The sequence below is a fragment of the Homo sapiens genome, chromosome 10 (assembly GCF_000001405.40).
Source record: "Homo sapiens chromosome 10, GRCh38.p14 Primary Assembly".
Lineage (NCBI taxonomy): Eukaryota > Metazoa > Chordata > Mammalia > Primates > Hominidae > Homo > Homo sapiens.
In genome coordinates, this window is record NC_000010.11 from 26,017,314 (window position 1) to 26,034,381 (window position 17,068).

The 17,068-nt window shown below is 36.0% G+C and overlaps 1 protein-coding gene across 21 annotated transcripts in view; it reads left to right on the forward strand.

Annotated features, from left to right (window-relative positions):
• The window catches only part of MYO3A (myosin IIIA), a 278,304-nt gene that overhangs the window by 83,085 nt on the left and 178,151 nt on the right, over positions 1-17,068 (forward strand). For 16 of the 21 annotated variants that reach the window (XR_930494.1, XM_011519498.3, XM_011519500.3 and 13 more), the window contains 3 exons: positions 4,190-4,335; positions 6,709-6,774; positions 9,064-9,219. Coding sequence is in view for 20 of the 21 variants with exons in the window: in XM_011519498.3 (XP_011517800.1) it covers positions 4,190-4,335; positions 6,709-6,774; positions 9,064-9,219 (368 nt within the window). In the remaining variant the exon portion in view is untranslated. Of the gene's footprint in view, positions 1-4,189; positions 6,176-6,708; positions 6,775-9,063; positions 9,220-17,068 lie in introns of those variants that run through there. The other 5 variants (XM_047425358.1, XM_047425357.1, XM_047425361.1 and 2 more) reach the window with 2 other exon arrangements.

Here is a 17,068-nt window from a genome sequence, read left to right on the forward strand (position 1 = left end):
TCTGCCTGGGGGCTATGCTCAGCTTTAATAAATTCTTTACATCATTACCTTTGGGAGGTTGCAGATAAACTGCTAAAATAGTTGAGGGAAAAAGTTTTCAAGAGTCATCTTCTCCCCCCATCACTATTAATGATTTTAATCTTTTAAATTATGTTTATCACTTATGAAGGACCCTTATTTTTGAAGACTCTCTCTACAACTGTTGGGGAAAGCGCTGCTATTTATCTCCAGTTTTCTAGGGAGTGAAGGGAGGAGAAGTAATTAATATACTATATTAATATTTTCAAATCTTATAATTAAATTTGAGGATTAAAAGCTGGTATGCTGTTTTTATTTGAATACTTGTTTAATTATTACTTGCAAAACAAGTTAAAATGTAAACTTAATACAAAATATGGACAGAGAATGAAGTATTTTAAGAAACTTAAAAAAATCCACAATGGATTAAAAAAATTTTTTTACCATGGAGCATATCTTAGAGTAAAAATATAAAGTATAGTCATAGAAGCAAAAACAAAAATTGAATAGGAGAATCTCAAAGGAGAGTTTCTTTAGAGTTTGTTCTGATATATTACTAGTGTTTTTAAAACTTACCAAAAAATTACAAAAATGAGAAGTTAATAAGAACCTAGTTATAATACCAAATATTGCATTTTGTTTGCATATATTAATATAATAATAAATAATATTACATATAATATCATTATATAATTAATATCCTAGCTTTATGGGTTTTGTATGTTTATTTATTATAACAAGCCATTATTCAATATTTAAATTTCCATTTAGTAAAAACACTTATTAATATGCAGTTACTAGACAGTAATTTTTCTGATGTCAGTTTTATTATTAATAAACCTATAGTAGCACAGTAGGGCTTGAAAGTTCTTTCTGGCTTAGCAAACTAATGGATATAATAAACATGAAAAAAGGTTCACTACAGTTTTTTTCAAGCTGTCATGGAAATACATGTTTGAGATTTTGTTCATATTATATTCATCTCTCTGTAATAAGTATTTTCTAAACTTGAAGAACATATTTTAAATAATCAGCTTTCTAGTTAATCAAGATATTCCATATCTACCACTCTATGGTATTAATAGCAGATTTCTAAGAATTAGAAAGCAATAAGGTGAACAAATATAAATATATTCACCATAATGGCATAGAAGTATTTCAGTGTTTTTAGAGCCCAGGAGGCAAGGTTGTTCAAATCAATTATCACTTGAAAAGTGAAATTCTTGATTGGCATGTTTAAATTAAATTCTATATCAAAAGTAGCATTTGCTGGTTACATAAAGACATCCTCTGCCAGGATGAAGGTAACAAGGGAATTAGCGACTGTAGTAGGTGACTGTACAACTTATCATACAAACCAGGACACCCTGGAGAGCGAAAGGGGGTGATATTTATTATGATTCTAGGACTACAAGCATTAAACAAGAATGTCTAAGGCAAACTGGGACATAGATTCACCTGAGCCTATATGGGTAGATATCCTCTGACCACACATGTAAATTCATGAAATAATGTATTATCCTGAAAAATAATTTTCCTTAGGAAAAAAATGATGGGGCAAAAGACATTATTTTTACACTCTAGCAAACAAAGTTATATTAGACAACAGAATGAGAAATTCGTATGAATGCATTTTTGAATTTTTAACAGCTTTATAAAGGTATAACTATAGAATTAGGTCATTTAACACATACAATATTCTGATTTTTAATGTATATTCACAGGGCTGTGCAATCATCATCACAATCATCACAAACGTTTTTGCTCCCCCTCAAAGAAACCTAGTACTCATTAACATTCACTCCTCATCTTTGCCTAAACTCTCCTACTCTAAGCAACCATTAATCTATTTTCTGTCTCTGTGGACTGGCCTTTTCTGGTTATTCTATTTATTTATTTATTTATTTATTTATTTATTTATTTATTTATTTATTTATTTTTTCCTGAGACGGAGTCTCGCTCTGTCCCCCAGGCTGGAGTGCAGTGGCGCAATCTCGGCTCACTGCAAGCTCCGCTTCCTGGGTTCACGCCATTCTCCTGCCTCAGCCTCCCGAGTAGCTGGGACTACAGGCGCCTGCCAACACGCCTGGCTAATTTTTTATATTTTTAGTAGAGACTGGAACTACAGGCAACTGCCACCACGCCTGGCTAATTTTTTATATTTTTAGTAGAGATGGAGTTTCACCATGTTAGCCAGGATGGTCTCGATCTACTGACCTTGTGATCCGCCTGTCTTGGCCTCCCAAAGTGCTGGGATTACAGGCGTGAGCCACTGTACCTGGCCTGGGTATTTTAAATAAATTGAGTCATACAATATATGGCCCTGTGTCTGGCTTCTTTTACCTAGTGTAATGTTTTCAGGGTTCATCCATGTAGAAGCATGTATTAATGCATCACTTATTTTTAGAGTTGAATAATATTCCATTGTATGTATAGACCACATTATGTTTATCCATTTGTCAGTTGATGAACATTTGGGTGTTTATCACTTTTTGTTATTATGAGCAATATTCCTATGAATATTTGCCACATGAATTTTTAATGTAAAACTTAGGACTTTACTGTTTCCCTCAGTACTTCAGGCTGTGCTCTCTGATTTCAGCAGTTCACTCTCATGTGATATTAAAAATACTTTCATAGAAAAGGTTAACAAGCACTGTGTATGATGATGTCCCATCAAACTAACTCTTAAGTTGAGAAACTATTCTGTCTTTATATATAGACATATATATATGCACATATATGCACATGCATAATTTATTATTGTCCTTCAGGTACTTAGAAATGAATTGGTTAATGGTCTTCTTATTTGCCCATAAACTCGCCATCCACGCCAGAGCCAGAATATTACCAATAGCATGCATTGGCCTCTATCCCTTCCTCTATCCCAACTCCTTGCCTCCTCTCAAGAGTGTCTGTTGCCCGATATGTTGTGTTTATCATTGCCTTCTTTTTACTTTTTAATCACACTGATATGCTTATAACTAAACTGTTTCCTGTCATTGCCATTAGTGTCAGGTATTAATAAAGATTTATTTATGAAGTAGTCACCTTTCCTGGATGACATGGGTGTAAATCTTACCAACTGAATTCTAGTGTGCCCACACATGGATTTTTTAAATGTGTTAAGCCTGATGTTAAGTGAAGTCAGAAGGTGAGATATCATTCCTAAAAGGGCCTTAGATTTTTCACTTTATATATCATTTTACAGTACTGTATTTAAATGACACAATTCTACATCTGCCATCATTCTAAAAATATCTTTTATTTTTTCTTGTGGGTTGGCATGTACAAAACATAAAATTTTAAAAATGCAAAAAATGGTTCTTAAAATGTAAAGTTGAATTTCCTTTTTGTGTTTATTGATGTTAATAATTACCATTCACAATCAATCTGCATTTGTACTTACACATTTAGAACTAAATTGGGAAGTAATCAATGCAATAATTTCTCTATCTAATACAATCTTATAAAATTACAAAAACAAATTCCTCTTTTTTCCTTGACTCTCAATTACATCTTTCGATTACTGACATGTTTTAAAACTGGTTGCAGTTTTACAATTTAGGGTGGCCCCAGATAGGCTGTTGGTAAAACCACATCAAGGTTTATTTTTATTTAGTTTTCTTTTATTAGTGGCTTAAACCTTTTGCATTCCTCCAAACTTGTCTTATTCCTCCCTTAGGTAGCCTTGCCTTCTAGTTGCCAGTAGAGACCAAGGCCATCTAACTAGACAGCCCTCAAGCATATTTACCTTTATTTCCTCCACTTTTAATTCTTCAAAAACATAGCCTTCATCTTTGCCCATTCCCTCAATAGACATTTATTGAGTGACTACCACTGCCCAATCTTTAGCTGTGCATTTGATCCCATCCCTTTCCATTTGGGACACGATTTCTTTCCTCTTTTTGTTCCATATTTTCAAAAATATTTTTCATAGGCTTCTTCCCTTATATTTTAAACCTCCTAAGGTATTATCTGTTCCCAGAACAAAAATACTACTACCAATAATAATTTGATCTTTTATTCTCCTCCTAAGTTACTGCCTTCGTCTTTACTTATAGCTATCAAACTTCACCAGTTTAAATACTTAATGCTTTGTTCTAAGTATTTTATTACATGCTTGTTAAAGTCACAAATTTCACCTTTTGATGGTGTGGTTTTCTACTAGGTGATTGCATGTGAACAGCAATTGGATACCACTTATGACGCCAGATGTGACACTTGGTCCCTGGGTATCACGGCCATTGAGCTGGGTGATGGAGATCCTCCACTAGCTGACCTTCATCCCATGAGAGCACTCTTCAAAATACCAAGGTCAGATGACTAACATTGGGTCCAGTATCTGCAGCCCGATTTACTTCCTCCAGCCACCAAGTGTTCATCATGCTCTTCATGGAGACGTTCAGATATATTCCAACAAGTTGGGAGCAGAAGATCCTGGAATATTATTCTGCTTCTTCTGAGACATTGTATTTGTTCAGTAGTTGCATTTCCCTGGTCTAAGTAAAAGAGCTTTCTCTTGATAATCAGTGTGTCTTTCTCTCTTTTGCTAGGATTTGATTTCAGAAAATAGCAGTTCCTCCCACCCTTTATCCATTCCCCAATGAGTCAGTGAGGCATCAGAGTCCATAGCCTGTGCAAGTGTTTTGCTTTGCTTTACCTACCAATCTAGTAATTTTTTACTACTTGCTAAGATTTCCCTTTGTTCAGAACTTTAAAATAATATTATTAAGAAAATTATATATAAAATTTATCCAGAAAATAATGGTTTTAAACATGTTAGTATTTTGAATATGTTAATATAAAACAATAAATTTAGAAGAATAACCTCTTTTGGTGCCATGAAAGCACTTGACTATTTATGTGGCCCCCCACTCCTTCATGTGTGTTTCAACAGATTTTCCCCTACTATCCTATAAACTAATTTCTTTAAACACTATTTTCTATGAGTGGTGGTTAGTCCCTTGATGTTTCAGATAACTAATGTGAAAAGACTGCCTATATTTATTAAAGGTGTTATTTTTAAATATCTTTTTAAGGATTTTGCCTTAATTATAATGCAGTGCACAGCCAGAGCCTGTGGTGACAGGGTTCCAAAACATTAGAATATTTGGCATCTAACTAAATTATTATAAGACTAAAACATTTGAATTCATTTTTAATTTTGCCTTTGAATTTCTTGTCCTATCTAGATGTTCCAAATTATAATACCTTGGCTATATATCATCCTTTACATACTGCTTATTTTGTTAAGTGGAGAAACAACATTATGGAAAAGAATGGAAAACCTCTATACTAAATCCAAGACATTTCATTAATTTTGAAGAAAGCAGGAAAAAAATCTGTAGTTTCTAATTCCTATTGTCATTCAGTATGTAAGGTGAAGTTCTGTACTGCCTTAGCTGTTTTAACTGTGGATTAAACCATCATATTTAGTCTGATGTTATTACTCTTGATGATAATGCCACATGAAGGAAGGATGACACTGTTGATAGATATTGTACCTAGGTAACAGGCAATGTGCAAAGTAATTCTAGAAACTGCATCATCTTAGTTATTTCTTAATTATGTCTACCAGCAGTGGAATTCCAAGAATACTGACTATGGTAATATGGAGAAAAAGGGAATCTGAAAAGCTACCCAGTTCTGAGTGTTCTGAAATAATCCAAACTTTGTTATTCAAAGCAAGCCAATAAATCTCATAAAAGGAAATTTTCAGGAGGACAAGAAACAAAACAACATTTCTGGAGAAAAGAATTACTTCTTTTAATGTGCAAATTAGCAATCTTCAAATTGTCCTAAGGATTGTGAAATGAGCTTAGTCCTGATCTGGGGTAGATGAGTAGCTGCACTTTTCTTTAATGAGCCTGTACAAACTGTACATTAATTTCATTATAAGCTATTTAAGGAGTAATGCAGAACTGAAGACAAAGTATTTCCATTTCACTAATGAAAACAAAGAGCTGTTAGAATTAACATAAAGCAGCACTTCAGCAAATTCAACTATCATGGTTGATCAATGTTGCTTGATTACAGAGTTAGATCAGCCTCATTTTCAAATGATGTTCCTTTGTATTCAACGAATGTGCCAAAAAATATATTTGTTCAGCTTAAACTGAAAGGAATTAATAAAATTGTTAAAGTTGTATTCACAGCTTTATCGCTAATAGTATTTTTCAGTTCCTTGACACTTTGTAACATGTTTCCTGCCGTGTGTCCAGTAACAACAGAACAACAACTCATAAGGGCATTCTACTGTGCGACTCCCTGGCACACCTTCCTCCATATTCCAAACAGGCCACTTCTGTGTTCCCTGGATGTTCCTCAGAGACTTCATTGGGACTCATAGGAAAAAAATACCTTTCCCCAGTATCTATTGTTTCTATTCTGTTAAGTATTGATGTTTCCCCCTAGAGCTAAGTAAAAGCAAGAAGACTCTTTAAAAGAAAAAATAATAACAGTTGGAAAAATCAGGTCATATGTTAAGTGCTTACAGAGAAACAAAGACCGTGTCATTTTGTATAAAGAAAGATGAGTAATGATTTATCTGTCTTGGAATTGGGAAAAGATGGAATCCTTGATTACAACTGGCAGAACCTAGGATTGCATTAGTCTATCTGGCTCTGCCTCTCATTTTACACTGACTGACCAATATACAGAATCCAACATTGATTCTTATTTTTCTAGGAATCCACCCCCAAAACTAAGGCAGCCTGAGCTATGGTCAGCAGAATTCAATGACTTCATAAGCAAGTGAGTAAAAACAGTCTTTTAAAAAACCAAAGATATTCCCTCCTGCTATAACTAAATCTCCTCCTATTTCTTCTTATCTGTTAAACAGCCCCAGAGATTTCTATTATTTTCTTCAAAGGAAGCATCTATAGTGTCTTTTAAATGTTGGGTGAATTTATCATTGCTCAGATAATGGCCTTAGGGTCATGTTTATTCACTGATCAATAGCTATGCTTCTGTGGACCCTTTATAATCAATGGTCATGTTCTTCTGTTCGCCTGTGTTTTGCCTATGGGTGTCATTTCATATGAGATGGGTCTCTTAGCATACCATTAGGTTTCGCTTCTTTATCCATCTTTATCCTCTGTGCCTTTTAATTGGGGCATTTAGCCTGTTTACATTCAATGTTAGTATTGGCATGTGTGGATTTGATCCTGTCATCATGTTGTTAGCTGGTTGTTATACAGACTTGTTTGTGTGGCTGCTTATGGTGTCACTGGTCTGTGTACCTAAGTGTGTTTTTGTAGTGGCCAGTAATGGTCTTTCCTTTCCATATTTAGCACTCCCTTCAGGACCTGTTATAAGGCAGGCCTGGTTGTAGTAAATTCCCTTAGCATTTGCTTGTCTGAAAAGGATCATATTTCTCCTTTGCTTATGGAGTTGTAGATGCTTCCACACAGATCCTCAATGGAACTTAGTGTCTGACGTATTTCTTGCAGTTTCCCCTCTGAGAAACATTTCCTGGTTTCTGCCAAGCAGTTAGTATTCTGTCCTGGTTGCTATTGATTTGGTTTGTCTTCCTCTAGTAACATTGCCAGTTGTATTTAGCTTACCTGTTTTGACATCTTTCTCTATAACTAGACAGTAAGCAACTCTAGGGCACTGAATGTGCCTTACTTGTCACTGTAACTCCAGTGTCTAGCAGAGTAACTCCAGTGTCTAGCAGAGTGCCTAGTACACATTAAAGATTTGATAAAGTTTTGCGTGAATAAAATAATTTCATATGTGCCTCTTCTGAATACATAGATACAATTACTACAGATGTCAGAAATTAATGCATTCTGTTAAATTAATGGAAAACTAAGAGCACTTGTTCTTATTTTTTAGACACTGGCATTCTTATTCCTTAGCATATTTTAGCATTCCGGGGAAATATATTTTTGGTTAAGCTCAATGAAATAAATTGCCTAATTATCATAATACCGATTAGAAATGGCGCTACTCAAGCCAAGGCATGAGTTTCATCTTTTTATGCTTTTTTTCTTTTTTTTTTAATATCCCCAAATGACAGCCCAGTTTTCTCATAATCGTAGACTCTGTGAATTGCAGGGTTAAAGGGGTCTTGGAAAGTTGTACAGCCCAAGTTTATATCCAGAGGTTAAATCCTTCTCAAACATGTGCACTCAGTGGCTGTCCAATCTATACTTAAATATCTCCAATCAAAATAGTATTTCCTAATGCAGCTTATTCTACTTTGATAAGCCTCACTCTTGAAAAGTTCTTCCTTAGACTGATCTGAAAGCTGTTTCTCTCTTGATTCCACCAACCAATTCTAGTTCTCTTACCCCTTGTGACCACTGAAAACTACTTGAATCCTTCTTTTACATATTCAAAGTCAGCTGTCACAGCTGGTTAAACTTTCTACATTTGTTCAAATGCTCCTCCTGTGCTGTTGTTTCAGGTGCTCTCACTAGTCCTATCCTTTCTCATGAATATGCTCTGGTTGAACCTATCAAGAGGTACAACAGGCATTAGTACATCTGCTGTATGACCTCAAAAAATACATATTGACATGGAATTTAAACATCCTTAGCTGAGTGGCCTTCTCAAATGGGTTAGCAGTTTTATCACATAGAAAGAAACAGATCAATTGAGAAGCCTTTAAAAGCATTTGTGAAGGGAAACTGCATTGTTTGTTTTAATTTTAGATAAGCATTAGAACTATAATGACTTCATTGTCATTTATCTGCAGCTACTGACTTGTAAAGGAGACTTTGCAGTGGAGACATTTTAATTATCACTATGCAATAATCCTTACTGGGAGACGACAGAAGTGGTATTTAGTTGAAAGTTGGTATCACTGCAGCTTAATCACTCACAGATGTGTGCACTTTCACAAACATTTGTTTCATCATATTGCAGTTAGCTATTTTTGAGAGATTAAAAATTGCAATTAATATATTTTAAGCTTGGGCTGAGCATTTATGAGGAGCATCACTCTCGTGTGTTAGATTAATTTTTAGGAATATGAATAATAGTTTCAAAACTCTAACTTATCTAATAATTGCATGTTCTTTTTTGCCAGTGCAGGTGCTTGACTAAAGATTATGAAAAGCGTCCAACAGTGTCAGAACTTTTACAGCATAAATTCATTACTCAAATTGAGGGCAAAGATGTGATGCTACAAAAACAACTAACGGAATTCATTGGCATCCATCAATGCATGGGAGGCACAGAAAAGGCCAGGTAATCAAATAATATCTTGATTCCAAAATCCAGAGATTATTGAAAGATTTTGAACAGTTTAACAATGTATTAGTTTTTAAGGTGAATAAAATTTGGAGGTAATGGGGACTTACATGAAAAGTGAATGTCACCTGTTGAAATGCCTCTCAATATTGGTAAAATTACAGGCAACACTTTCTTTTTTTTTGAAACAGAGTCTTGCTCTGTTGCCCAGGCTGGAGTGCAGAGGCACGATCTCGGCTCACTGCAACCTCCACCTCCCGGGTTCAAGCGATTCTCCTGCCTCAGCCTCCCTAGTAGCTGGGATTACAGGCCCATGCCACCATGCCTGGCTAATTTTTTGTATTTTTAGTAGAGACAGGGTTTCACTGTGTAGCCAGGATGGTCTCGATCTCCTGACCTTGTGATCCGCCCACCTCGGCTTCCCAAAGTGCTGGCATTACAGGCGTGACAGGCTGCACTTTTTAAACAACTTTGTAAGAACAAAGAATGTAAACTTCAAAAGATCATTTTTGTATTGGTATATGTTTTCTTGTATTTTCTGCTTTTCTATAAAGTAAGATATCTTAGATTTGGGATTTAAAAAAACCATAAAACTTGAAAGACCTTTTGACACTATTATTTGTTCATTTTCCCTGGTTAAATTATATTTAAAGATCATTTTAAATATCTTCGTACATCCTATTGGGATTTTAAATAGTATATAAGTTTATTTTAGGAAATTTAAAAGTCACAGAGAAATATACAATGGAAAAATAATCAAGTATAACATTTTAATCTGTAACCTTTTAATATCTTCTTCTTGTTGGATATACTTTTTTGTTTTTTTTGAGACAGGGTCTCACTTTGTCTCCTAGGCTGGAGTGCAGTGGTGCCATCTCTGATCACTGTAGCCTCAACCTCCTGGGTTCAAGTGATCTTCCTTCTTCAGACCCCCAAGTAGCTGGGACTATAGGCATGTACCACCGTGCCTGGCTGATTTTTGTATTTTTAGTATAGACGAGGTTCTGCCATGTTGCCCAAGCTGGTCTTGAACTCCTGAACTCAAGTGATCCACCTGCCTCAGCCTCCCAAAAGACTAGGATTGCAGGCATGAGCCACTGCGCCCAGCCAAACATTTTAAAACATTTTTAAAACAAAATTGGAATAGTATTATATGTGTCCCAGAGACTGTCTTCTTTCACTGAATAGTGAATATCCATATAATTAAACATTCTTCTAACACAACATTTTAATGGCTAGATAGCATTCCCTTGCCTGACAATTTAATGATTAATTTAAATAATCCCATACATTTTGGTAGTTACTAATTGTTTTTACTCTCTCAAGTAACTGTGTAATGAACAGTTGTACATTAATCTCTTACTGTTTTCTTAAGATAAATTTCTATAGATAGTACTATTAAGTCAAAAAATTATTAAAGTTAAATTTATAATTTCACTTTATTCTTGAAAATCCTATTTGTTTCATCCCAGAAACATATCACTATTTAGGGAGTTGGAAGAAGTGAATAAGACATTACTTATTTGAATTCCTGTTGTGAATATACACATTTAATTCCCATTTGTTTAATGCCTACTATGTGCCAGATTTTGTATTAGGACTTCATTATGTTATCTCATGTGATTTTACAACAAGTCTGAGGAAAATATTTTATGATAACCCATTTTCATAGCTGAAAAGAACTGAAGTTTGCAGAGGTTAATTAACTTGCACAAGGCTGCACAGGAAATAAATGACTTAGCAAGGATTCAAATTCTGATCTTAAAGCCCAAGCTTTAATTCACAGGAGTAAATGGACTAATGATTGTGGATGATCTTGGGAGATAATAATCCTTGCCTGTTTGAGTTTACAGCCTTGCTGCAGAGACAGACCTGATATACCTTTAATGAGGAAGAATTAAGTGACAAAAGAAAGAAGCAGATATGTAGTTTATAATGAGGAGATAATCATGGGTCATCCATGCCCATCTTTTTATCTTTGTGTAAATGTAGTTTCATAATCTGCTGCAACCTCATTCTTCCCGAAACAGACAACCAATAATCAAAATAAACAGAAATTGAAGTGTATTCACATTGTGTAGGATGTTCAATGTCAAGAACTGTGAAGGATATGAGATATTACCCTACCTGCAAGCTCACAATTTGGCTTGCCACAGTTTCATGAATGCTGGTAGAAGACACAAGATTCATGGATGAGAGACAAAGGACTTTACTACTCATTGCCGAGCTGACAGCATGAGTTTATGTTCACATTGGTTCTCCTTGCCCCCTAGAGTCCTAGGGGAAATGTGGAATAGGTGGATGTTGTGTCCACACTTGGCTTGCCTCATAACTGGGAAATCCTGAACTTGGGAAACTCCAATCTTTTAAATAGGGGCTGCTTGCATGCTTGCCCAAATTTTGCCTTGGAGGAAACATTAGCTTTACCATCCTGGACACCAGATAAGATTTCCATCTGTCCTAGTATTTTTAATTTCCAAGGCTGTTTGCTATACAAACATTATTGAAAATATAGTCTGGAACAAAAGCTAATATAAGACATGCAGAAATTTGAGAGACCCATAAATAATTGTCTCTCAATGTTCAAACATCGTGAGAATGGTTGCACTACACAGTATTTAGATTCTCATGCTTGTGCTGTAAGTTTCAGTGATTATTGGGCACAGTGTTATGCTCAACACTTTCTGATTCTGAGACACAAGATGTAGTCTTGTTTATCCTGTTAAAAATTCAGAATATGCTTTCAGTATGAGAATTCATGATGTACTCAGTTATGGAAATTTTTCAGTTGTTCTTTTAAATATTGATCCTCTCTCATTCTTTTCACTTTTTATTTCTGAGACATAAATGTTGGAACCTCGTATTTTACCTCACATGTCTTGCAATTTCTCTGTCATGTTTGTCACCCATTTATCAATCTCTGCTATATTCTGAATGAATTCTTCAAAATTGTTTCCCAATTCACTAATTTTCTCATAGAACTGGGCCTAGTCTAGATATCTTATATACCAATATTTTTTTCGTGCTGATATCTATTATACATCAACATCTATAGTTTTCATTTATATAATTTCTTACTTGGTGAGTGGTTTTTTGTTAATCACTCTTTTCATATCTGACTTTTTATGTCTGGCTATTCATTTTTTCTTTTGGGGGAATGTAATTCCGCTTTTTTTCTCTTTGATCTTAAACATACTTTTTAACAGTAACTCTCAGATTTGCATTTCAACACAGGTGAATTGTCCTGATTATTGAGTTCATTTGTTTATTTAATATTTGGTTTCCTTAGTCTAGGGTTCAGAATTTTAGTTTGCCTTCTCATCTTGAGTGGGAGGTTTTTTATTTTGGTTTTTCTTTCCTTCTGCATTCTATTTGGAGGGTTTTGCCTTTGCCATTATCTGGTTTCAAGATTCCCCAGGGCCCATTGTGATTTGAAGGAAATTGCAGATCCAGTTGCTGAGCCAGTGGGAAGTAGATCTTATGTCTCTCCATCCTGCCATCTCAAGCACCTGGCTCCATATAAAAGGAAGAAGCGGCAGTTTTTTCAATCTTTTTCCCAGGCAAGGGACCCCACACTCAGCCCCATTCTTCCCACCACACCTCGGTCAAGGCCTTCATTGTGAATGTGTGTTTCAGTTCCTTTACTCTCCAGGCCTCTTTTTCCCGTTTTTGGTGCCAGACTTTGAATCAGCCTATAGTTTCTGCCCTCTTACCTGGTGCTTTTGTTTGCCCTGTTAGGTCGTCTCTAATGCTCATCTTGTTTTAGAAAATATCTTTGTCTTTTTTACTTTATTTTTTTAATGTGTAAGAAATATTTTATTTTTTATAAACGTATGTTTGGAAGAGGTGGGAGTTGAACTTGAATCTTTACCCACAACACTCTCTTGACCATGGATCTTAGTTCAAAGGAGGAGGGAAGATTATCCTGCCCTCAGCATTCATATTCACACTAGTCCCAAAGTGTGAGACATACTCAGGCAAAAGAAAACAGGCTTGGTTATGCCACTGGCAACACATTAAACAAAAGCTGTCTTCTTGAAGATCACGAAAAATAACTTGATTTGTCACAGTTTCTGATGTTGGTAAAATGGATCAAAAAATCTGATTGTATTAAATCAACATAGCTAACTCAAAGCTGACATTTTTCTTTTTGTACATGATGTCATCCTTTAGAACTGAAGGTATGTGCTTGGCAGTATAATTTTTTAAAAATTAAAGATTCAGCTTTAAAGAAAATGGTCCTAATATAAATTGAATACAAACTGAATATAAACTTCCTTGTTGAGGAAAAGTGGAGTGTTGGGAGATACTATGGAATGGATATGAGAACTTTCTATTTTAAGTCAAGACCTGAATATAAAACACATCACTTTTCTAACTTATTCAACTATTCTGAAGAATTAAGACCATGTTATAATACACTCCTCAAAAAACGGGAAAGCATTTTTCACACGAGTTAAAATTGACAATGTTAGAAGGCAGACTAAATTGGGAGAAACTCTAGTTATAAAATATTTTGAAAGAAAATTTTTCTTATGAATCCAGTATTTTTAAACAGTTGACTATCTGATTTAATGGGAATAGATAAAAGTCATTTGTAACTGAAATGTGCTAATTCAGAATTCTTGAGTAAAACAATACAAGCCCACTTAAAAAGTAAAGCAGTTTAGCGGACAACATTGGATGGCTCAGAGAATGGAGAGGATGGGAGAGAGCCAGGTTTAGTCATGAAAGCCGGTGGCTTCAACTGTCCTTCCTCAAGAATCACCAGCTAAAAGGCTGCCACTGAAAACCACCCACCTTTCTCTAACATTGCCTGCAGTGACACTAGTTTCTTGAATGCTACAACCCACTCAAAATATTCGTAAACTGACTTTGAGCTTTATGTTGCTTCCTTGAGGTTCTAAGTTCCATACTGGACCATCTGATCGCCCACGTGTAGGTCACAGGCCCACACTGTAGGTGAAAGTAGGTGGTGAAAGACACTTGGTCTCAGCTCACTTCCAGTTTCTATGTGAGAGGCAGAGTCCTACCTGCTAACCATTTTGAAATTTCTTCCCCACAGCAGAAGGGTATTTTTGAGCTGCTGAAGCAACAGGTGGATAGCCATTATATGGAATATTTTTTATTCTATTTCATTTTATTTTAGAGACAGGGTCTCACTGTTGCTCAGGCTGGCCTCAAAATTCTGGGCTCAAGTGATCCTCCTGCATCAGCCTCCTGAGTAGCTGAGCTTACTTGCACAAGCCACCACATCTACCTCCTGTATGGAATATTTAACACTTCCTACAGTTCTTTATTTTATATATCTTGAACATTTGCCTAAAAAATTATTTAAGCTATGATTGTCATTCCTCATAAATAAAGAAAATATCTAATCCAGCATCTACTTAAATAACAAATTCCAAATTAAAACTTCCTTTTTTTGAAAGTCATATTATTAACATGTTAACATCTTAAATTTCTTTTGTGTTTTATATACAATGCAAAATAACTTTAATATTTTACTTGATGCTCTCAATATGCCAGTGGCAATTACCTTTGATATTTATAGATTGTTATATTTTGCATATAATTTCATAGAAATAAAAAGGATTCAGTAACTCCTTTTTCTTACTAATTTTGGTTTCTTAGACCAAACATACTGGCTGTATTTGTGGTGCTGTTGCAACTAGTCCACTTGTCCCAGCATCTATGGTTTTCAGGCCAGAATATAAGGCATATTTGAGACATATGTGGAAGGATTAACAAAAGAAAGACAAACTAAAAATTGACCATCCAATCAGTGTTAAAAGTACCGGCCAGGTGCCGTGGCTCACGCCTGTAATCCCAGCACTTTGGGAGGCCGAGGCGGGTGGATCACGAGGTCAGGAATTCGAGACCAGCCTGGCCAACATAGTGAAACCCCGTCTCTACTAAAAATACAAAAAATTAGCCAGGTGTGGTGGCAGGCACCTCTAATCCCAGCTACTCAGGAGGCTGAGGCAGGAGAATCGCTTGAACCAGGGAGGCGGAGGTTGCAGTGAGCCCAGATCATGCCATTGCACTCCAGCCCGGGCGACAGTGTGAGACTCCATCTCAAAAAACAAAAAAACAAAAAAAAAACCAACAAAAAAAACACACAGCCCAAGCTGTCAATTCCTTATTAGGCGTGGGACTTTATGTAATGTAAATTCGCTCAAATAGGATTTTGATTTTACAAAACAGAACAATGAAAAGAGAAAACAAAAAAATAGGAAGTAATAATAGGGTTCCTTCCATGTGGCACAATGCATGACTCCATTTTATGTTCTATTTTCTGGGCAAGATAATTTTTCTTTAATGGCTGTGACTATGTCATGTTGAGAATTATTCACCCTTTGGAACATATACGCTTTTCCTTGACACATGAGACTTTAAAAATGCTATCCCCACTGCTTTTCTGATAACTATGTTTTCAATTCCTATCTCCACATGACTGAAAGATACTTCAAACTCAACATGTCCAAAATTAAACTTATGGTATTCCATCTGTGTTCTTTGTTCCCTTATTTTATTTTATTTTATTTATTTTTTTGAGACAGGGTCTTGTTCTGTCACCCAGGCTGGAGTGCAGTGGCACGATCTCAGCTCACTGCAACCCCCACCTCCTGGGTTCCAGCGATTCTCCTGCTTCAGCCTCCCGAGTAGCTGTGATTGCAGGAGCCCGCCACTGTGCCCGGCTAATTTTTGTATTTTGTTTTTTTAGTAGAGATGGGGTTTCACCATCTTTGCCAGGCTGGTCTCAAACTCCTGACCTCGTGGTCCACCCGCTTCGGCCTCCCAAAGTGCTGGGATTACAGGCATGAGCCACTACACCCAGCTGTTCCCTTTCTTATTAATGGCACCACCACTTATCTCATTATGCCAACCAGAAATCCAGGGATTATCTTAACCTATTCCTCTCTCCTACTTTTCATTTTTAGTCCAAACCAGGACTAAATGTCTTACGATCCCACTCAACACCAATTGTGCTATAATCTTTGCTACCCTAGAAATCGCGGATTGAGATGACATCCATGTTGTCTCAACATTTGTTGAGGCCATTGTATAAAGGTCTAGATAAAGGTTCTACACAGAGGTCTGACAGCTGAATCCTTTATAGAGCCTGTGCTCTGGGGCTAACTTTTTAGTAAACAGGATAAGACAAGAACATAAATAACCATTATACAAAGTTTCAATCCCATTTCCACTAGCAGGGGCAGGAGGGCTTATCCAGGAGGTCGCCTTTGAATCAGCACCATGAGGGATAAACTGGACTGAATCATGTGAAGATAGAGTTATCACAAGATGAACGTTATAGCAGGAGAAACAGCCTGAGCAAAATCATAAAATCAAGGAGATAAGCTGACAGAAAGGCAAGCATTTAATCAAGCTGTAAGGGGAAAACCCAGAAATAGGTTTGGAGAGGTATACAGAGACCAGACCACTGAGAGCACTGAAAGTCAGACTGAGAGGTTTGACCTGTGTCCATGACAGCCCACAGTGGGGAGTACCCCATCGCCAGCTCTTAAGCCACCTGTGTCCCTTTTGTTGGTTCTAAAAGGTAAATTATGGATACACCAAGGCAGACTACAGCAATAATTTTGGATTCATTTTGCTTGTTCCCAGTATGACCATTTTCTCATATGTTTCTTTTTAACTTTAAAATATGGTATTTTTTTGAAGGTAGAGGGAGTTGGTCCCAACTTTGTTTAATGATCATCTATCTCTAAATGTGCTTAATTGGGTCTTGTCCTTTTGCCATCTTCCATTACACAAGAGTGGGTGCCCAGACCTTATTATGGACACTTGAATCCCAACCCCTGCCTTGGACTGCCAGGATGGC